A 22,801-nucleotide genomic window follows, 5' to 3' on the forward strand; every position below is an offset into this window, starting at 1 on the left:
AGCAAATGTTGTGCCAAGGAGAAGGGGAGTGAACATCTTGCAGGAACAAGTGGACAGCCTGTGGGAAATGGAGTAGATGGGGAGTCTCAGCTGTAAAACTGGAATCCCAATTGCAAACAAAGATGCATAAACCATCACTGAATCAGCAAAGCTGCGAATGGCTTGATTAGACACTATCTTGCAAACTCTACTTTTAAGAGGTTGAATCTGAAAAAATAAAGCTATGTGGCTTTGGTTAGAAATTAAGATATCCAGTTAAATGTTAAGTTCCTCCTTGAGGACTGTGAAACCATAATGCCAGTGTCTCAGGGGGAATTACAGAAGCTCCTGGAACATGATGCTCCTGTTCTTTCATCGAATAATATGTCAAAGTGTGAGTGAGGTTGTGGGTGACAGACCAGATGTGGTGACACTCATACTGAAGCTGATTTTCCTGCAATAATATATCACTCATGGTCTGCATTAGATTAAAGAGGACATGAAATTTATTTGGCCAAAGCTGAATATCTTATGACTATTTGGATGGAAAAAATGAAGGGTTGGTGAAACTGACATGTCAAAACAAGAACTGTGTGAGCATGTTTTGACTTTCCCTATGAGGGAAGGTGATAGGGAGATAGAGACACTCCCTATAGGTGATAGGGGACATGAGGATAGCACTGGCTGGCATCCTCCTTTCTGCTTGGAGAGTCTCAGTACTTTGAAGCTCTAGGCATGAAGCGCTGCCTCATCTACTCTTCCAGGTCTGGCTGGTAGAGAGTGGGCTTGGCGCAAGTGCAAGAGAAGATATTAAGCATAGTATCTTGCAAAGTAAGCCTCTTGGAAAAAAATTATGTTAGTCTTCTATAATTATAGAAATAATAAATGTTCACAATAGAAAAATTGGGAATTTTAGAAAGAGTAGAAAAAGAAATCCCTATAATATCCCCACCCAAAGGCAGTTACTATTAAATTTGGGTATATTTCCTACCAGCATTTTTTCTCATGCATGCATTTCTTTTTTACGTAGCTGTGATCATGAAAACAAGATAATTCGTGTCCTGTGTTATTCATTTGACATATTCCATAAGTAAGCTCCATTATAGAAAGTAACTTAAAATGATGTTGTATGTTTGTTTTTGTTTGTTTATGTTTTAATAAAGCATGTGGATTACTTCTATAAGACGAAAGGGAAAATGTAGATCCTATGCACAAGTATTTATTTCCCTCCAAACCCCCTTTTTATAATATGTATTGTTGATTTTATAGAGTGACCTGATCAGTACATGTAGGGGCTCAAATCACAGCTATTCTTTAATACTTCGGGTTACTTCATTGCTATTATTGTTTGTTACTAATATGTAAGATGAGGAAAAGACAACCTTTTGGTGGGTGTTGGGACTGGGAGGGAGGGCATTGAGGACAGATGAACCAAAGCTGGATATGGAAGGAAACCCAACTTCATACCAAAAAAAACAAAACAAAACAGAAAAAAGAAAGAAAAAACCCGTCTAGAGGCCAGTTGGGAAAAGAAGGAAGCAGAAACAAACAATAGGATATGAGGTTCAGATTTCTTTACCAAGAAGACACAGATCTTTCATGACTGTAGACAAGACCGAGAGAGAAACAAAGCCTCCCCACCCCGAAAGTCCCCTGAAAGGAAAAACATTGGGAAAAGGGAACTGGTAGGAAATGACTGGAAGAACCAAAGAAACAGTCCTCCTAAACAGAATGTTAGGTGGTACGTAATACAGGTTTTCAGGATCTCCATTTGTGGGCATACTGGGAGAGTGCAGGCCTACATGTGCTAGTGGTGAGCTGGGGGGAAATGGTGCAGTCAATAAGTGCTAGTTTGGCAAACAACCAGATAATAGAACTAATTAGGTTAGTTTCTCTTCTTATATTAACCAAAAGTTCTTATATTAACTAAAAGTGCTATTATAAAGTAGCACTTGTAAGTCGCCTGTGGAAAAGAACGTTTTGAGATGTTTTTAAAGAGGATCTTGGCCGGGCGCGGGGGCTCACGCCTGTAATCCCAGCACTTTGGGAGGCCGAGGCAGGCGGATCACGAGGTCGGGAGATCGAGACCATCCTGGCTAACATGGTGAAACCCGGTCTCTACTAAAACTACAAAAAAATTAGCCAGGCGTGGTGGTAGGCGCCTGTAATCCCAGCTACTTGGGAGGCTGAGGCAGGAGAATGGCGTGAACCCGGGAGGCAGAGCTTGCAGTGAGCCGAGATCGCACCACTGCACTCCAGCCTGGGCAACAGAGCGAGACTCCATCTCAAAAAATAAAAAAAATAAAAAAATAAAAAATAAATGAAGAGGATCTTAAGCATGGCATCTTAGAAGCTGTGACCCCTGTGAGTGGAAGCTGACCCTCTTGGCTGTTATTTAATAACACATGTGTATCTAGACTGAAACCGCAAGAATGTTTCGTGAAACATGGGAGGGGGGGACCTTAGCAGAACTCTTCTGAAAAATACGTTTTCAATCCTAATTTTTGGCAGATCTCTCTCTACACCCCAGGCTACAGAGCTTCTGTGTAGTCCTTTCTTTTTTTCTTTTCTCTTTTTTTGGGGAGTTGGGGGGTTATCTCTTTACCACAAACTAAAGCTTCCCAGTGAATCATTTTGAAGTAAAGGGGCTGGAGACAGTGAAATATCCCAAGAAGACCACTGGGAAGGCAAAGTTATTTGTATAAATTCCAACTCAAATTTTATTCTTTTTGTTCAAGGAAATTTTCTTACTGTGGTTGTTGAGGTTTCAAAACCAAGGTTGAGAATCACGGTCAGAGATCCCTGAGGGAGCTCAGCAATGCTGAAATCACCCCTAACGTACTAGGTTTTCAGTAGTTTTGGGAATTAGAGAAATGGAGTTCTACTTTTATCTCAACTGATTACAAAAGGTATTAATGAAAGTCCATTTGTATTAGGTTCACAGATTTTCAATGATTATCACCAGTGAGATCACAGATCTGTGGGAAATAGGCAAACTTTGGGGGGAAAAAGTGTTGAAAGAATTTCCTAACCACTTCAATTTATGAGATGATTAAACCTTTAAAAGTTAATTATTTTTGAACATTAAGAAGAATCAAGTGACTGTAATTTGCTGTCACAGGGTCATTTGTTGGACTTTGAAGTGTACAGAATGGGATGAAGGGAGTGGGTTGATATTTACACTGATGTCTTAAGGGCATTATGAGGATGCCTGATGCTTGGCATTAGTACTAACCTACCTTTAGTACATTCTAAATTACCTTTTTCTTTCATTTTACAACTTTCTGAAGTGTAACAAGGGAGGGAAAAATGGCAGTACTTTCTCTGAACTCTAAATTTTCCTTCTCCAAAATAAGATCCTTGACCCCAAATAAACCAGCTTAGTGACTAAGCAGATTTCATGTATTCCATTCCTAAAGACTCCCTTAGTTTGATATTTCAATAAAATGATTAGATTATAAACTTCAAACAAATAGAAACTCTTAAGAAAGTGACAACAAATGTACAAAACATGAAACAGGTGAAAAATATGAAATATATTCTGGAAATGGTATCTATAAAGTTTGTTTTATAAAAAGTTAAAATAATACCACTAAGGGATTTCTTCCCCTTTTCTTGTGTTGAAACACTTCAGAATACCCATGTATATAGGCATTTACAAAAAAAAAAATTACATTTACAAAGGGATAATTGGCCAGCAAGCTCGATTGCTGTGTGTGTGTGTGTGTGTGTGTGTGTGTGTGTGTGTGTGTGTGTGTGTGTTGGTAGGCTTGTTTTATACTGAGTATCCAGTGGCTAATTCCTTGGAAGGGACTTTAGGGCAATTAAGATTCTGGTTAGCTTTTATGCCAGGCAGCACAAGTTCTAACAATTTATTGGTACAATTTACTTTACCTTTTAGAGTGGCTAATTTAAAGAACATTTTTATGAAACGTGGCTCCTTACTTGAAGCATGGGCAAGAAAGCCAACAGAATTTATTCCTTTTCCCCTGCAACATCACCAAATAATTGATTTGGAATGAGAATTAAAAGAACATTTGACAGTTATGAAATGTATACTTACTCTGATACTTCTGATTAGTTGTGCAACAAATTCATGACAAATTACCAGATTAATTTTTACTTTATTTCTTCAGGACTGGGGTTTTTCGATGGTTTCAAATTTAGAATCTTCGCATTTGAAATTAGATAACATATTCCTGTCTGCTTTCAGCAGAAGTTTACTCTCCAACTCTTGCTGGTGCTCTGGGCCAGTATCAGCAGGTCCTCCAGATGCCTGTGGCTTAGATTTGTAGTCCCTAATGTTGTCCACGAAGAGTTTCTGTATGGGACCAAGTTTCTTGTTAAATGCCACTGTGTGACACCAATGTTCTTCTGCAAAGGGAGTGAGACTACTGACCGAATGACAGAGGAGAACTTGAAGAGCCTCTGAAGAATCATGGGGACTCTATGTGCCTGAGCCACCACCTCTGCCACTGCTGTCAGAATCTATTCTTTACATTATGAGGCTTCACTGAAGATGTGTCGCTCAAGTATAGGGAGAAGTGATACAATCAGAGGTCAAATAGGAGGCCCACTAGGAAGCAGTCTGTTGATTCTTCATAATATTTAAAATAACAGAAAATCAGAATAAAGAGTTAAGTTGGGCTGGGTGCAGTGCCTCACGCCTGTAATCCCAGCACTTTGGGAGGCCAAGGTGGGAGGATCACCTGAGCTCACAAGTTCAAGACCAACCTGGGCAACATAGTGAGACCCTGTCTCTACAAAAATTTTAAAAAATTAGCCGGGCATGGTACATGCCTGTGGTCCTAGCTATTCAGGAGGCTGAGGTGGGAGGATGGCTTGAGCCCAGGAGTTCAAGGCTGCAGTGAGCAGTGGTTGCACCATTGCACTCCAGCCTGGATGACAGAGTGAGACCCTGTCAAAAAAAAAAAAAAAAAAAAAAAAAGAAAGAGTCAAGTTGATGGTGTCCAGAGCTTGAGGAAACTTGGAATGAGCTAGGTAGGTTCATCCAGGTTCTTGAGATTTGTCTGCCAATGAAATTTCAGCCCATCTAACAGATAGATTCATCTGCCACACAGGTGCCAAATGGAAACCTCTCAGGGAGTTCACTCTTGAGATCTTATTAACCCCATGGAGACACTGTTTTTTTTCCTGTGAATCAGAATTATTTTCAATATACTTTAACTAGTGTCCTCAGAGTTACATGGCAACTTCACAAAGTAAGAACTTAAGCAAAATCAATGGAGCTTAATGCAGGACTTGAATTCTACATATGTGAATGTGGATGCAAACATTGTTTTAGCATCGGTTCCACAAACATTTAGTGAATATAGATTCTATACTTGTTGCTCCCATTCTTTAAAATTTTTTTAAATAAATTTATCTTTTAAGAACAGTTATAGGCTTACATACTTTATTTCGATTCCTCACTTTTTACCTGATTTCCGTTTTCTATTCCAGGATCCCATTAGGATCAAGCTGCCGTTAATAAATACTAGTCAGGAATTTTGTAGAATGTCCCTTAATTGGGTTTTTTCTGATTTTTTTTTCATCATTACACTGAGAATTATGGGTTTTGGGAAGAAGACCCAAAGGTAAAGTGCTGTTTTCATCACACCATATAAAAGGTACATACTATCAATGTTCATTGTCACTGTTGATATTGACCTTGATCACCTGGCTGAGGTAGTGTTGGTCTGGTTTCTCCACTGTAAAGTTACTCTTCCTCACCTGCCTTTCCACACTATGTGTAGCCCACACATAAGGAAAAAGTGAGGAGTTAATCTGTATACTTGTGGGTGTGGTGTCTACATAAATTATTTGGAATTCTTCTACATGGGAAATTTGTCTGTTCCCCCCATTACTTATTCAATCATTTATGTATGCCTGTATAGAGTCATGGATATTTATTTTGCACTTTGGGTAATAATCAAATACTACTTTATTTGTTGTCAAAGTGTTCCAGTTTTGGTAGCTGGGAACTCTTTTAGTTGGCTCTTGTATCCTTTTTACATATCATCAACATTGTATATATCTTTTTTTTAGGGTGGTAAAGGTGTTCTTTGATTCTTGAATTGTAGGTACACAACACTATGCCTTTATCCAAATCCACAGAACATTAGAGTGCACCGAGTAAACCTTAATGTATGCAAATTTAAGAAAACCTTGAGGTTGGGGATGGGATGCAGAATGTGACAAAACAATCTAGCTGTATTAAAAATGTAAGAAATAACCTTACCAAAGGGAATTTTGGGTGTGGTGGAGAGAGGTGCAGATCTATTAACTTTGCAAATGAGTGGAGTCTATAAGAATAAAGGCAAAAGAAACTACAATAACCACTGTCCTTTGGTTGATACAGTTTTTCTCGCAGGCAAAAAGATAAAGAATTTTAATACCACTCTACATGTATTGCACAAATAAGTAAATGGATTGTGGCTAGTAGCTGCCACGTTTCTCCCTGTTGGAGTGGGTGCTTACAGATAAGCAGGGGGAAGAGGCTAGAGTGATCCATGTGGTAACAGATTAGAGTTGTAGATATCAGCATGCACTCATGTTCAGTTAACATAGATACACACGGTTGCATACAGAAATATTTGTAGATATATGTACATAGGTTAGGATACATTTATATATTTTCTTGATCTGGCAGTTAAGAGTGCCTAGAAGGAACCACACCCCAGAAGCATATATAGGACGAGCCTGCCCGTTTTTTCTTTTTAAGTGAGTTTTATCTATCATATTTTATGTGAATTTTAGCTTCAGATCTATGGAATTTATAGTTTATTAAACTCTTTGCTCATTTGTTTATTAAACATTTATTAAACTATTTGTTAAACTCTTTGCTCATTACAGTTTATTAAACTCTTTGCTCATTTGATACCTCATAGTTAACTTATTTACATGTGGATAACAATATAAAATAGTTAACTTATTTACATAGTTAACTATAGTTACCTCATAGTTACTATAGTTACCTCATAGTTACCTCATAGTTAACTTATTTACATGTGGATAGCAATACCTGTATATAGTATATATCGATATGTACTATATATCGATATATAGTACATATCAATATATACTATATATCGATATATAGTATATATAGATATATATACATAGATAGTATATATAGTATAGTATATATAGTATATATATACTCTATAGAGTATATATATACTATGTAGATATACTATCTATCTATATATACTATATATAGATATATAGATATATATACATATATAGATATATAGATATATACTATATATAGTATGTATATAGTATATATCTATATATAGTATGTATATAGTATATATCTATATATAGTATGTATATAGTATATATCTATATATAGTATGTATATAGTATATATCTATATATAGTATGTATATAGTATATATCTATATATAGTATGTATATAGTATATATCTATATATACTACACATCTATCTATATATAGTATATATCTATATATACAATCTATAGTATATATCGTATACATCTATATGTACCATATATACGATATATCGTATACATCTATATGTACCATATATACGATATATCGTATACATCTATATGTACCATATATACGATATATCGTATACATCTATATGTGCCATATATATGATATATCGTATACATCTATATGTGCCATATATACGATATATCGTATATATGGTATATATCGATATATACTATACATCTATATATTGTATATATTTATATATATACAATCTAAATATAAACAATATAAAATCTATATACAATATATAAATCTTTATATATACAATATTAAATCTATATAAAATATAGTCAGTTAAACTTTGCATTTTAAAATTATTAAGTCTGTGAACAAGTCTATGGCATGTAAGAGGTTTTTTTTTTTTTTTTTGAAGGTTTGGGAAAATTGGAATGTAACATTATCGGATGCTGCTCTCCTGAAGTCCGTGGGTTCTTCCTAATAGGAGGGATTTCTTTCTCCTTAGGCTATACCAGGAACTTCCCTATCCCTGCACCCCTGCTCTGTCCAGACTTGGGGCTCTTATTCTTGCTTCTGCCACCTCCAGGGCCCCTCACATCCACTATCTGTGTTGCCTATGCAAGATAAATCCAAAATTCCATATGATTTATTATTCAGAACAACTGAGCAAATTTTTCCTAATTCTTTCATTTCAGGTTATGCTCAGAAACTTCAGCATTTAAAACAAAAAGAGCTTCATCAAGGTTTCCTGTTGTTTGTCTGTTATTTTTCTTAAGATATTCATCTAGGTAGAACATATCTGTAGCAATATTAACCAAATGGTGGAAGCTTTGACAATGTAATTCTTTTTTTTTTTTTTGAGATGGAGTTTCACTCTTCTTGCCCAGGCTGGAGTGCAATGGTGTGATCTCAGATCACTGCAACTTCCACCTCCCAGGTTCAAGTGATTCTCCTGCCTCAGCCTCCATAGTAGCTGGGATTACAGGCACCTGCCACCATGCCCAGCTAATTTTTTGTATTTTTAGTAGAGATGGGGTTTCACTAAGTAGGCCAGGCTGGTCTCGAACTCCTGACCTCAGGCAATCCACCCGCCTCAGCCTTCCAAAGTTCTGGGATTACAGGCATGAGCCACCACGTCTGGCTCAACAATATAATTCTTTAACATGTGTTGCTTCAGTCAGGAAATCTATCATTAATATTTTAATATTTATATTTATTAATAATAGATTATAATTATTACTATTTTCCTGCCCTGAGGTGTTTTGAGTATTTTCTTGTTTTCTTATTATATGTAGACACATATCATATATCAGTAACTTCTTCTAGCTGGGCTTCTAGGTGATATTCATTTTTTTCCTCTTAGAGAATAGGGGATGTAAAGACCATATCAGAACCTCTGCAGGTGCACATAAATGTTTTTGTTCAAATAAATAAAGGTAATAATGGCAGATAAGAAATTCAAACATTTTGTTTTAAGCAAGATGGTATTATGGACAGTGGCATCATGTGATTCCAATTTTTGACAACAGTGGTTGTACCATGCTCCCGATTCATGTCTATTTTATGTGAATTCAATTTTATGGGCTCTGTAAAAAATAAAAAGTGCTGGGGGTTGGGGGAGGTAGGGAGGAAAATCAGAATTCACACCTCGGGGTGGCTGTACCCATCATTTCATTTTGAGAGAATAAAGTCCGTGAGTGAGTGGGACACTGCAGATGTGAATGTGCTGTTTCTACCATGCTTCTCAGAGTGACAGCGTCTTGGCACAAGGGTAAGAGCTTATAAAGATCTTCATTTTCTGTACAACATAGCCTCCCTGTGAAAGCCACCCATTTCACCGGGTGCCTGGCCATAGTTAGATCCACAGAAGGACTGTTTGTGTTGAGCTTGCTGAGAAATGACATGGTGGCTTCTAAGGGATTTTGAGGAAGGCTTTATCCATCCCTGATTTTCACCTTATGCTAGAAGTTAAGGCTGCATATGATGAAGCATATATTTAAGTTGTCACTGCACTGGCTCAGCTTATCCAGGAAAGGCTTATCCTAGCCTCAGAGGCCTTGCCTCCTTTTATCTGGATATTTTATGACTTTCCAGGAACAATGTCTAGTAGTATTAAAAACTGTGGTGTCTTGGTGGCTTAACAGTGGAGTAGAGAAGCAAAGCAAATCTTCCTCTTTGAGCTCCTTCCCTTCTTCTTCCTCCTTCTTCTCCTCCTCCTGCTGTTTCTGTCTTGGTATAGTTTTCTTGGAACTTCCTTGCACATTGCCATGTCTCAGTTTTAAAAATCAAATGATTACTCCTCAGGGTCAAAGTGAGACTATTTCAGTGGCTGGGAACCATGGCTTATGCCTGTAATCCCAGCACTTTGGTGGGCCGTGGCAGGCAGATCACTTGAGGTCATGAATTCAAGACCAGCCTGGCCATGGTGCATGTTTTGTAATCCCAGCTACTTGGGAAGCTGAGGAGACAGGAGAATCACTGGAGCCTGGATGGCGGAAGTAGTAGTGAGCCAAGATCATGTGACTGCACTCCAGCCTGGGTGATAGAGCAAGACTCTGTCTCAAAAAAAAAACAAAACACAAAAAACTGTTTCAGTGTCTATAACAGAAGAATAATATATGAAAGGGAAATTTTATTTACATTCAACATTTAAAGCTTGTTGAAAATTTACTTCTGTTAAGTTCTTCACTGTTATAATCTCACTGGATCCTCACAATAACCCTTTAAAGTATAGATATGATTCCATTCGCTATGAGACAACTAAGGCTCAGAAAATGGGAATGACTTGGTTAGGGCCACTAACTGACGGAGCCATTATTTGAACCCGGATATCTGTGTCTCCCAAACCCATGATTTTTCTTTTTAGCTTGTGGTGCACTAAAAATGTAAGACACAGTTCTTGCCCACAAAAAATTTTGGGTCCCCCTGGAGGATGAGAAAACTGTGCAAATACTGTAATTCAGATCAAAATGTAAATACTTCTTTGAGATTTACAAGGTTGAAAGGCAGGTTAATGTCTAAATGAAGATCAAGGAAAGTTTCCTTTCTGTGTGGGTCTTTTAGAAAGCTGAAACTTCAAGGCAGCAGTATCTTCTCTGAATAATTATAACCTCATGGAAGTTCTTTTCTAGGTGAAGAATTTTGTAATTAAAGGAGGCACATTCAGGCGAATGTATCTTCCATGAAAGCATTCATACTCTTACATGGTAATGGTTGTATGATATATGGTGAAAGGGTGGCCTGGGGGATATATCATTGAATTCTGCTGTCTGCAATTACAATCAGCCAGTAACAGTCACCTGTTGAATATGAATGAGATGTAAATAGCATCTTGAATTAATTTAAATGCAATTATATTGATAAACTACAGAAAAAAAACCCACTTCAATTACTATAGAAAACAAGGAGGATAAATGATCCACATTCAGAAGAAACGTGTTGGTGAGCAAGGAGGTAAGCTGGCCTAAAAATAAAAAGGGCTGTGCAAACACTATTTTTGACTTCACTTTCTAGTTGTATGTTAACTGTTCATGGCTAGTCAGTAGAAATCATTTTATTCTTTAGAAAACACTGATAAATGGTAAAGCAAATGAGTACATTGGAAAGTCTCTTCTTTTGATATCTGAGTTATTTTCACATATGTCAGTTGGGTGTCTCACATGTATTGGTTAGGTCGTTCAATACTGTTTCAGAATAATTTTGACATCAAGAATCACTTGATATGTAACTGGTCAACAAGGACTGCATTTGGAAGAATAAGATTAGGATGAATCTGTCTGGAATCTCAGCTAATAGAAATACTTTTTATGCAGTTTTTTTCATCTCTCTCTTTGTCTATATTGCCCTGAAGTTCTTCTGACCTGTCACTGGTAGTCACGGGAGGAACAGCCTATTCCAGTAACTTGCTGATGTGGGGTTTATCTACCTCCTAGTTGAGTGACTCTAAAACTTCAATAGGCATGAGAATTGCTTGGCATAGGGGTGGTGCTTGTTGTAAATTATTGCAGATTCCTGGGCCACCCTCAGAGAGATTGATTCAACACATCTGGGATGGGAATCTCATAATCTGCATTTAAAATGAACAGTTTTCCCTCAGGCCCCTTCCTCCATTCTGATGCCTCTGAGAAATTCTGCCCCCGATTCTGCTTTCTCTACATTTGTAGTCTTCTGAACGCTTTGTCACATTTCTGACCAACTTAATAAAACAAGTTAGGGAGCCCCTATAGATTGTATTACTTTTGTTCTGTTTGTAATTTAATAAGAAACATGTCTTTCTCTTTCCCATAGCATCAGTCAACTGTAAGAAGTATAGTATTCCTATACCTTTAGTTAAGGGGATGGTATAGTAGAGGTTTAGCATGTGTAGCAAGGAGCTACAAAACCCACTCCTACCAATTCAGGATGAGGACTTTAGTATTTCTAACCGCCTTGGAAATTTTGCATTTCAAAGGATTCTTTAATGGTAGCAAGTAGAGCTGAAGAAAAATAACAGTATCTCCTGATCCAACACTATTTTGGTTTGGTGATTGTCCACACTAGTGAAGGTCCCCTTTCCTTGGTCTACAGACAACTTAGAAGCAGCCAAAAGGCCATAGACCTATGCACACTCCCATCATTGTCTGCAGCCTCAGAACAATGGGTTTTCTCTACCCAGAAGTACTGTCCTTTTTACAACTGTTGTGCTAAATAAAATACAAATATATATTTTAAACACTTTATAATAGTTCTTGTAGATGTTTTTGTCAAAATATGTGTTTTTAATCAGTTGTCATGTAAAGGTTCTTCATCCACAGGGTAAAGGTCATTGACATGGCAGACCGACTATTGTAAATCATTCATTCTTTCAGCAATTGCCTACAGCGTCCTAGGCACCATTCTGTGCTCTAAAATCAAGAGTGAATGTAAATGCTCTTCCACAAGATTTGGTATATTTTCTAATTAAAGATCCATATGGACTAAAACTCTTTTACTGGATATAAGGGCTGAAAGTTACATATCCTTATAATTATACCCAGCTGGTTGAGAATAATACGTACTTATTCACCTAATTAAAAGCCACAGGCTTGGCATGGTGGCTCACGCCTGTAATCAGCACTTTGGGAGGCCAAGGTGGGTGGATCACGTGAGGTCAGGAGTTCGAGACCAGCCTGGCTGACGTAGAAATAACACATCTCTACTAAAAATACAAAAATTAGCCGGGTGTGGTGGTGCATGCCTGTAGACGCAACTACTCAGGAGGCTGAGGCAGGAGAATTGCTTGAACCCAGGAGGCAGAGGTTGCAATGAGCCGAGATCCTGCCACTGTACTCCAGCCTAGGCGACAGAGTGAGCCTGTCTCAAAAAAAAAAAAAAAAAAGCCACAAAATAGAAAATGTATCAGTATTTCTTTCCACTTAGTTGCAATGTTTGTAACTATACTCTAGTTGTATTTTGTTTTAGTTGTATGTTTATGTGACAAACTATATAAAAACACAGTAGTGATTTATGTAATTCTGATTTTGATTTAAATTTGAAATTAAGTGGTCTCTCCCCTTTCTCCTCTTCTCCCTGTATGCCTCACTCAACCCCTACCCAATCAGACAGGATTAGCTTCCATGGAGCAGGCTATGCAGCTATTTTCTTACACAGCGTGGCACAGTAGTACCGACAATTTAGGAAATAACTGAAGCAAAGAAATGAATGTTAATTAAGACACATACTGTCACCTTCTAAGTCTGCAGACTTAATGGATCCTCATATTGTATGTTTCCAATGTCGTTTAGTTTATTTGGACATCAGGTGACCTCACAAAACAAAACAAACATTTCTTGCTATTGTTTCTACTAAAAGAAATGCTTAAAAGAGACTGCCTGATAACATTTGGGATATCCTTTTTTTCCACTGCAGATCTCGGCTGTTGTGCTTGAGCTTATTTGGGGCATGGATATCTATGTGCCTATAGGAAGCGGAGAAGTGAGCCTGAGCAGTGCCACGATTTATGGGGAGGCAGTAATGAGCTTCTCCTGAATGCTAATTACTGGAGAATTGTTCAGGGAGACGGCAAGAACTGTTGGTTTGTGGTAAATTAGTCACCAGCTCTATTGAGGTGGACTGAAAGTTTAGATCGGAGCTATAAAGGCACCAAAATCCTGATGATTGACGGCCAGACTTGGTGACAGTACCAATATGGAAATACCCCAATTGTGCTAAACAGTGGTAGATAACTTTGTATAAATCTAATGAAATGAGTACAATCTATATAAAAGTTAAAACTTCCAACCACATTAGGATTAAAAGGGCGGTGAGACTGGATTGTTAAATGAATTATGAGAGCTGTTTTGGTTCTTAGATCCGAAAAGCTGCCCAAGCTGCCAATGGTATGAAAGAATAGTCTGCTCTGGAAAGAGCTCTTCCTGGAGTCTGCTGGCCTTCATTTGCCTGGGGATCAAGCTTTCTGGCTGTCCACACACATAAACCTCAACCTTTATCTAACACGGCACCGGGTAGCTCTTCTGAGAAGCAATATTCTCACTCCGAGCAAAACAAGCCTGCACTGGGAGGCTTTTCTTGAATCACAGGCAGCTCTCTTTCAATTCCCAGTTACCTTCCTCCTTCATTTCCATTTCCAGCAACCAGAAGAGGGGAGTTAATGATTCATTTGCTCCCAATGACCTTTTGAATAAGTGGACTGCAGTGTTTCAGCCACTCTTAGCTCCCCCACTTCTCCCTCCTTTACTTCCCTAGTTTGGCTTTAATATTTACAGCCTCCTTGTCGGTCTACACGCCTGAATGCCCGAAGGAAGCAAAACATTTATTGCCTTTCCCTCCCTGGTGTGCAGGAGCTATTTCATCCAATCTCATTCCTTCCCTTTACATCACATGGGGAGGCTTGCCTCCTGGCTGGGGACGCCCCGAGTTCTTCCTGAGTCTCTACTGTTTCATCTGTTGATTTCACCAAAACAAAAAGATGGATTCTGACTCCGACTCACCTTTTAACTACTCGTGGCCTTCCTTTCCCAAAATGAAGATTCGAAGAAGGACGTCCAAACAAGGTAGATTGCAGTATCTTTTCTTTCCTTCACGGGCAAAACCAGACATCCTATTCTTTCTTTTCCGTGTTTCTTTGCCAGACTGTTTTTCCAATGTAGCGCGTGTTTATACGTGCCTTTATAAAACACTCACTGTACAGATACATATAGGTTTCTGAGGCAAACCTACTAATTCTTCTTATGTTCCTTTCACTTTGAATCTACCTACCTTGGTGTTATTATGTATGTGCAATTCTCTTTAAAAAAAAAAAAAAAAAGAAGGGAGTTTAGTATAAGGTAAATGTTTTGGATTCACTTCTTCAGAATTACCTTGGAGTTACCTTGGCAATAAACAGTCCTGTTGATTTAAACATGTTCAGTCTTAGTGGGATTTGCAGAGAATACGCATGTGTTTCATACCCAGCTTCTGCATCTTTTGTTTTAGTTTTCAAGTGTATAGTAATTTAAAAAAATTTTTGTAATTAAGAAAATTTTTCTATTTTATACTATTTTATTGATTTTATAGATGTTATAAGGAAAGGAGTTGAAAAAAATACTTTCAACACAAAAGCCTGTGTATCTTCAGAGAATACAGTCACATTGTAAATAGTTTACTAAAAATAATGATCAAGTAAGTAAAATCCTTTACTGCTGAAGGAAGAAGAGCCATTTATCTGAGCGTGATTGATAATGGAATGGGTTTACATTACTTATTCTCTCTTACTTGCAATCCATTCTTGTTGTAGTGTGGGCCATGGAAACAAGGAGCAAGCTGGTGTTAGGGTGTAGAGGAAGTGCCCTGAGAAGCTGTTATCCCATCCTCGGCTGGGCTTAGCTGGCAGTGATTGTTGCCTTCTGAGGTTTAAAAAAATAAGATAGTGTGTAATCCTTCCCCGTTCTTGTCTTGTGCAGGGACGCGTGTGCTTATGTTTTCAATTCAAGGAGAAAAGGAACATTTTCATAAGCTTACAAGCAGAAAAGGTGTTTCTAAGCGGGTTGCCTCTGCAGTGCTGTCCTTCGGGAGCATACCTGTTCTAGGGAGCAGGATGGCTTACCCTGTCACCCTGTGCTTCTCCCAGAGGAGGATGGACGCTAGCAGTTGTCAGCAAACCAGCTTAGCTTCAAGCATCTTCTTTCTTCCTTCTGAAATACAATAGAAGTGTTTATTTGGCTTGTTTGCTCTTTAGCTTAGATCAAGGCCAACCCCAGGAATAAGATGCATTTACCGTCTAGGGCTAGTAGAAAGACTCAGCCTGAACACATTTTTCATGTTGCTCAGCTGCCATCCTTTAAATTCTATCATTGAAGACTTTAATAGCTTATATTCAATATACAATTTTAAGACATTAAAATTAATGTTTTAAAGATTAATTTTACTTTTTATCTAAGAAAATTGATTTTTCTATTTTATTGATTTTATAGATGTTATAAGGAACAGACTGAAAAAAATTTCAACACGAAAGCCTGTGTATCTTTGGTGGATACAGTCGTATATTAAAAGGCCATGATATATGTAACTTACTGTTAAATGATTCAGGGGGTATATATATATATATATATATGAGCACAAGCATGCGCTTATAAAAACAAGCTCGTACACAAATAGAAAATGCAGTCAAATGTTAACAATATGTAAATCTGGGTAAATAGTATATATTGCTATTTTTTTGTGCTGCTGTTATTCTTTCAGCTTTTTTAAAAAAAATAGTGGATATCCTTGAGCTTTTCTGTAAGTTTGAAATTATTCCTGAATAGTAAATAAAAAACCATGTAAATTGTTTTTGAGGGAGGAGATACACAAAGTCATTATTACTTTGGAGTGAATATTATCAGTTCTGGTATATTGAGAGCTTCTTGAGGATAGGTACCGTTCTGTAGAGTCTACCAAATCTCTGTGTCAATTCTAACCCAGTTAAATTTGGGTTGTAATCTGCTTTATTTAGTTTTGTATTTATGTGGCCCAGTGTTGTTGGGGCCTGGGCAGCCCAACACTGGAGAGACATGGGATTAATGATGAGGAGGCCAGTGGAGAACTTTGAGAATCCATTGGAGTTGTAGGGAATGCATTTATCATGCTCTCCTTTTAAATCCAAAGTTGAAGCATGGCCAGTACGAGCTGCAACAGAAAGTCATAGCATAGCTATGTATAAATTAAACATGACTCAAGTGAAAGCAGGTACCTGGGATATGGAGATGATTAACTATTTGCCACTGATAAAAGATGAGTGAAAATAAGGTTGGTAGCAGAGAGGTGGGGATTGTTAGACCATGTTTCACACTTGCGTTCTTTATTAAATCATGGTGATTTAGTTATGAAGAGCGGGTTTGGTCATGCTGTAATGCGAGCTGGACAGAGTCCCAGCATCACAGATCCTTAGAGCCTAAAGGGCCTTAGAGATGATCTGGTCCAATTCCCTCATTTGACAGATGAGGGGGTGTTATTCATATGTTCAACAAACATCTGGGGTGGGGGGTGCCAGGCACTGTTCTTGAGGGTATGGTGAAGTAATGACCCTCACAGATGCTGTCTCTGCTTACAGGGATCTTAACATGGGGACCCATCTCCCAGGACCCAGACATGCCCCCTCCATATAGTGGGAGAAATATAAGGGACTTGGTTTTTTATCCTGATGGCCAGTTTGTGAACTGTAGTCTCTTGTCGCTTACAGGATATCATAAGTATTTTTGTCAGTCTTTAAAACTGAGGTGGCTTGAATTTCTTAATCATTCTTCCCTTCCTTCTAATCACCACCAACATCATTCTCATATGTAGGTTCAAGTCACCTGAGAAATCATGAAAGTGGCTTTGAGAGCTTGGAATTACTGGCTTGTTGGCAAACCTCTCTTGAGTTAGGTCAGAAATAATGTCTGATATGCTCTCTTGCTCTTTCCTTGTCCTGAACACATATATGTTACTGGCTTGTGGAGGGAGTGATGTGAAAATTTAGAGCAAGGATTTGGTAACAAGAGGAAAATAACATTAGCAGAAACTCGCTAATACCATATTTCAATTCAAAAGTATATCTAGTACTTTCTTATCCTTATGCCTTCAGCGGGAAGGTAAGAGGATGTGACTTAGAAGCAGTGCCTTTGGAAATGACCCATGTCCAGAGCGGAGCATGATGAAAGCAGTTAAAACCAGGCTGCCCAAGATGTACTCCTAGGGTCTGCAAAAGTTGGCTTGTTCCTTGCATAGGCAGCCCCAGGACAGGCCATACTAGCGGCCCAGCAGTTAATGATTGGAGTGGGCCAGAATCCATTACTGTTCCACTTCAAGGGCTCCAGGAATGCCTGATTTTCTGTTTTTTTGTTTTGTTTTGTTTTTGTTTTTTTTAAATAGGAGATTCAATCAAGAAATGTATTGCTTATTAATCAACGATTGAAAAATACAGGAATTAGGCTTTACCCAAGGTTCTCATAATTGTCATTCAATCTTTAAAATGCATACTTTAGTATAAATCATTAGGCCCCAGGAAATGTTGAAATGTTTATTCCTTTATGCCTTTTATCCACTTGTGCAACTTCCCTCGTTCTCTCCTTCCCCAGCTCATATCATATGCTGCCTTTCCAGTGACACATAGTGTGAACATTTGTTTTCTTTTTGCTGGTGCAAAACCAGGCTACAATTGCCAAAGAAGGCAATGCATACCAGAAAGCTTGACAACCTTGGAGAGCTTAGATAGCACCATATTTTCTCTAATCATAATGAAAATAACTAATATTTATATGGTACCCTATTAATCATAACTACTCTTTACTAAGCTATAGTACATGCTTTACATCTATGATATCTGAGTCCCAAAATAACTCTGCAGTACAGATATTGTCTCTGTTTTATAGGTGAAGAAACTGAGGCTGAGTTTTACAGTTATTCCCAAAGTCATACCAGGAAACACAGGGAACAGTAACCATGGTAGAATAAAGAAGGAGAAGGGATGAAAGAATGACATATGAATAATGTGGTTTTTGCACATGTTGTCTTGTAGAAGACCTGTATGTTAGATGTGATTGTCATCTTCATTTATTAGTTGGGGTCTCCAAGGCTCAGAGAGGAGAAATGAGTTGCCACAAATTAGAGCTAATAAATGGCAGAGCCAGGCCAAGAACCAGGACACTCGAGAGTGTCCTTCCTGGTATGTTTCACCACCTCTTAGTAGCGGTAAGGGATGGTAAACTTCAATGGGTAGCTACCTTGGGTTCAAAAGGTGCCATTGTGCCTCCCCATCTTAGCTTCTCCCTCTCCTCTGTGTATCTTTACTAGGAGGAGAAGTGACAGGGAGAGACTCTGGAGGAGCAAGATGGTAGGGTTGTTTGTGCATCTTGATACCTTCCTCCTATACACAGATATAGTACTTAAACACATCATTGGATTGGGATTGGGAACAGATGCACAGACATCTGGAGCACAGGGTGGTTGGCTTAGGAGAGGAAGACAGAGGATAAATTGGGAAAAGAGGGGGCTGGGAGTGCTTTCCACTGTGGCCTGGAAAGTTTACAGGTTTGTCCCGGACAAAAAGATACAGTTAGAGAGATTAGGCATGCGGGGAATGGAGACCTAAGACCCTGAGACCATTGTTTTGGACTATTTCATGAGCTCATTTAATGTTTACAGGGCAGGTACCTAATCTGAAAAAATAATCCTTGACACAGTAAGTAGGCAGAGGTATGATGGCATTTTAGAAATGTTAATGATTTTTAAAGGTGAGATACTTTTATCTCATGGGCTTATTTGTCTTTTTTTCTTTCCCTTCCTCCCTTTTGTCAAGTTTCATCAGATGTACACATGCATGTGGATATGCAAGTGAGTATTCAGTCTAAAAACTCCCCAAATGATAGCTGAATACCATAGGATGAGTAAGTCACTAGAGAAATCCTTATTAAGGAAGGGAAACATTTTTCTAAAGGTGACATAACCTGCTAAGATTTCTTTGGCTCTCAATGAAGGGAGTGTTTAACCTCATACAGAGCAGTTTCAATTCCAGACTCTGCCTAGAGGCCTACTACCATTGTCAGCAGAGTAGAGGAGGCCCATTACAAACTCTTTGCCAAACAACATAGTTGCATACCCTCAAAGCTCCCTTTAGTTAAACAAATACTTTGCCAAATTTTTGAAAGTAAATTTTTCTTTATTTTTGGCTGCTCAAATTCTTGGACAAGGTATCATTCTCCATTAATCTCTGCAGGTGGAAGGGAGATAGTATTATAATTTACTATATTCTTGTTCAGGGGACTCCTCTCCATCACTTCTAGTTTTAGGGAAGGACAAATGATTATTTATTCTGATACATTAATTACGTAAGGTAGAAAGTGATTAAGTCCCATAGGAGAGATCAGGAAAAATTACTGTCAAAGTTCAAGGCAAAGAGGATAGTTCAAGTTGGGGGTATCATAAAAAGAATGTCATTTCAATAGCCTGTAAGCCTGTGGTGAGCTTGATGGGGTTTTAATGGCAGGATGTTCCTTCTAAGCAAATGGACAGAGTCAGATATACAGAGAATGTATCAAAGTGATAGAAAATAGCCTAGCCTTGTGGCCTGTTGATTCATGGCGATACAGAAATGCAGAGAGGTGCCAAATGTTGCGCTGGCCTGGATGGTTAGTTTTGCGTGCTTAGTACGTTTCTTCCCTTTGCTCTTTAGGAGGTGGTCCCTCCATTACTCTGGCCATAGGTCCAAATGACGCTGCCAACTTCTCACATAACTTTGCCTTGCTGAGTGCAGTGGGATGGGAACCCCACCCAGACTAGGCTGATCACAGCAATCCTCCTGCCTGGGTCACAATGATTGGCCTGGGTTGGGCACATGATTTAAGCATAGCCAATCGGAATCCTTCCTTGGGATTATTCAAACTGGAGGTTGGTGGGTGATGTCTTCTTTCTTGGATGGCAGTGTCTTCTTTCTTGGGTGGCAATGCTGGATAGATTGGAGTGAAAACCGTTAGCTGGAAGAAACCAGCCTGTAGTAGGAGGAAATACTGCAAACATGTAAAGAGAAGTAGATGAGTGAGAGGGTCCTGCCTGTGTTCTGGGCCCTTGTTGTTGCCCAGGTTCCTGCCTCTCAAGGCTTGGATGCTTAATTCTTTTAGTTTTGTGAGCCACCCTCACATGCCTTCCATACATCTCCCTCCCTCCCTCTTTTATTTTTGTTTTAGCAAAGTCAGGTAAATATTTCTCCCACTTTTAACTATTAATCTCCAACTTGCTGTTTAAGATGCAGCTTGAGTGTACTTTTTACCAGGAGGCATTCTCTGAATTCCCTTGGGGTTCAGCATTGTATCTCCTGTGTCACTCTGCCTTGCGTACGTTTTTAGGAAAGGCCCTCTCGTTACTGTATCACAGCTGTTATTAAACCTCTATACCCTAAGACACTGAATTCCTTGAAGGCGGCCAGCCCATTATCACATCTCCAGCACTTGGATCCCAGAAAGTAGGCAGTGAATATTGAAAGTGCCTCGTGGCACAAATTTACCCACACTACACCCAGATAGTCTTTATCTACAATTGATCTGATCATCTTCATGGGGTCCCACTCTATAGGCAGTGGGGCAGGGGAGGGGAAAGGATATATTTTAGCCTAATATAGAAAACTTGGTCTGATACAATAATGTAAATAGTCATTTTTGGTGACTGATGGGTATCTTTACGTAAAATATTCAGTGTCTCAAATTTCTTCCCTCTCCTACTCTTCCTTGTCAAGCTGTTGTTGAATGTGATTTCCTGGTGACAGTGGAGGTTAATGGGGGGTGGAGGTGGAGGGATGGAAAGTCCCAATCCTTCAATCTACACTGCACCTCCTGGGTCCTCCTAGGTTCTGCTGTGGCTTGACTGGCCTAGGCTCTTCCCTGAGGTATGAGTGCTTTATTACTGGGTGTTCTGGCATCTGTGATAAAGGTCAGCAGCTGGGATTGTGGTGCTAGTCAGGACCTGGTGATTCTCCTTCTGGCTTCACCCTGACTTGGCCCCACCCTGGCTCTTACCCTACAGAAACCTTGGACTCTCTTCCCCTGGCTGCTGACCTAGATGCTTCCCCCAGAAACGTCTGCCATCTGGTCTCTTCCTTCGCACTATGGTGGGCTTCATGGCAGGCCACAGGTGCTCAATTCAGGCCACTTCGTGTTCTTCTCAGAGGGCTTCGGGATTTATGGGATCCCATTCTCACCATGCAGGCACCTGAGAGTGGCCCAGGGAAGCTGAGCCTGGCCCTGCTGCTTGACCTTTTTCTTCCTGCAAGTGTGCTTGGTAATGGTTGTCCTCATGATGGTGAGGGGTAGCCTGCAAAGTGATCTACTGCAGAGTCCCAGATGGAAGCAGGAAAAACCCACCGACCCTCAGAGTAGCCCATAGCTTATTTCACACTGTTCTTCAGAGGCAGGGAAATCACTTGTCTCATCTACCTGGTCAGTGTCATCCCTGACAATCGAGAGTCCTGGTTATGAATGTTGACAAATCCCACATCCAGCTCTCATTCATCCCTACCTACCCGGTAGTATCTCGGAGTTGCTCAGGATAATGAAACAGGATTCAGGAATTAAGTAGGGCTTCTCAACCAGAAGAAACAGAACAATTTGGAGGAATGCCAGGTAGTACTTGGCTTTCATCATTCATTCAGCCATTCTTCCGTTTATTCATTCATTCAGAATGTTTCTATTGAGGACACATAAAAAATAAGGGAAAAAACATACATTTCCATGGAGAATTCTCTATTTTGCTAGCATAGTTTTTTGTCTATAGAACTCAATTACTTTTGAGGATATTTAGGGGAGCCGAAACACATATGGCTCTAGGGATAGGCACTGGAGAATAGAGCTCCTCATGAATTTGAAAGGAAGAAAATCATTTTTGTGTGCCAGTGTCTTTCCATTAGATTATAGGGGATCTGACTTATTCGTAGAGTTCTTTGTGATGATGACATATGGGGCATCTTCCTCATTAGTTTGTTTATATTTTTGGAGTCACTTGAAGTGGTCTTGTCAGAGTCCGCCGCTTCATTTGAGGTCTTTTGGTTTTATCATGGTGTTTTTATATATTAGGTTCTTCCCCTCTCGGTTTGCCAATTTTTCCTTGATGTGGACTAATTTGCTTTAGGCCTTGGAGAACTGCATCAAGAAGGAAGGGGCTTGTTGATTAAATCTAATCATGCCGAAGTCCACACACCACACATGACTGAATATCTGCTTGATTGCTTGAGGGAAGCAAGGGAAGAAAAAAAGTTATTTATACATTCAAGAGTCCTTTTTCCAAACATAAATGTAGGGAGTCTTGAAGGCTACTTTGTGCTACTACAATGCGGAGTGAGGACTTGGAAAGATTGGTTTTTGTTCTCAGAGGCCTGCA

The 22,801-nt window shown here is 39.0% G+C and overlaps 1 protein-coding gene and 1 pseudogene across 5 annotated transcripts in view; one reads left to right on the forward strand and one right to left on the reverse strand.

Moving 5' to 3' along the window:
• The window catches only part of ARHGEF28 (Rho guanine nucleotide exchange factor 28), a 315,795-nt gene that overhangs the window by 172,985 nt on the left and 120,009 nt on the right, over nt 1–22,801 (forward strand). The window contains exon 1 of one of the 5 annotated variants that reach the window (NM_001244364.2): nt 14,366–14,493. The exons of the other annotated variants lie outside the window; for them this stretch is intronic. Within the exon in view, the coding sequence (NP_001231293.1) occupies nt 14,409–14,493 (85 nt within the window). The 5' untranslated portion in view covers nt 14,366–14,408. Of the gene's footprint in view, nt 1–14,365; nt 14,494–22,801 lie in introns of those variants that run through there. 5 annotated transcript variants of the gene reach the window in all.
• Nucleotides 4,118–4,421, reverse strand: ATP5PFP4 (ATP5PF pseudogene 4; annotated as a pseudogene).

Source organism: Homo sapiens, chromosome 5, assembly GCF_000001405.40.
Source record: "Homo sapiens chromosome 5, GRCh38.p14 Primary Assembly".
Classification (NCBI taxonomy): domain Eukaryota; kingdom Metazoa; phylum Chordata; class Mammalia; order Primates; family Hominidae; genus Homo; species Homo sapiens.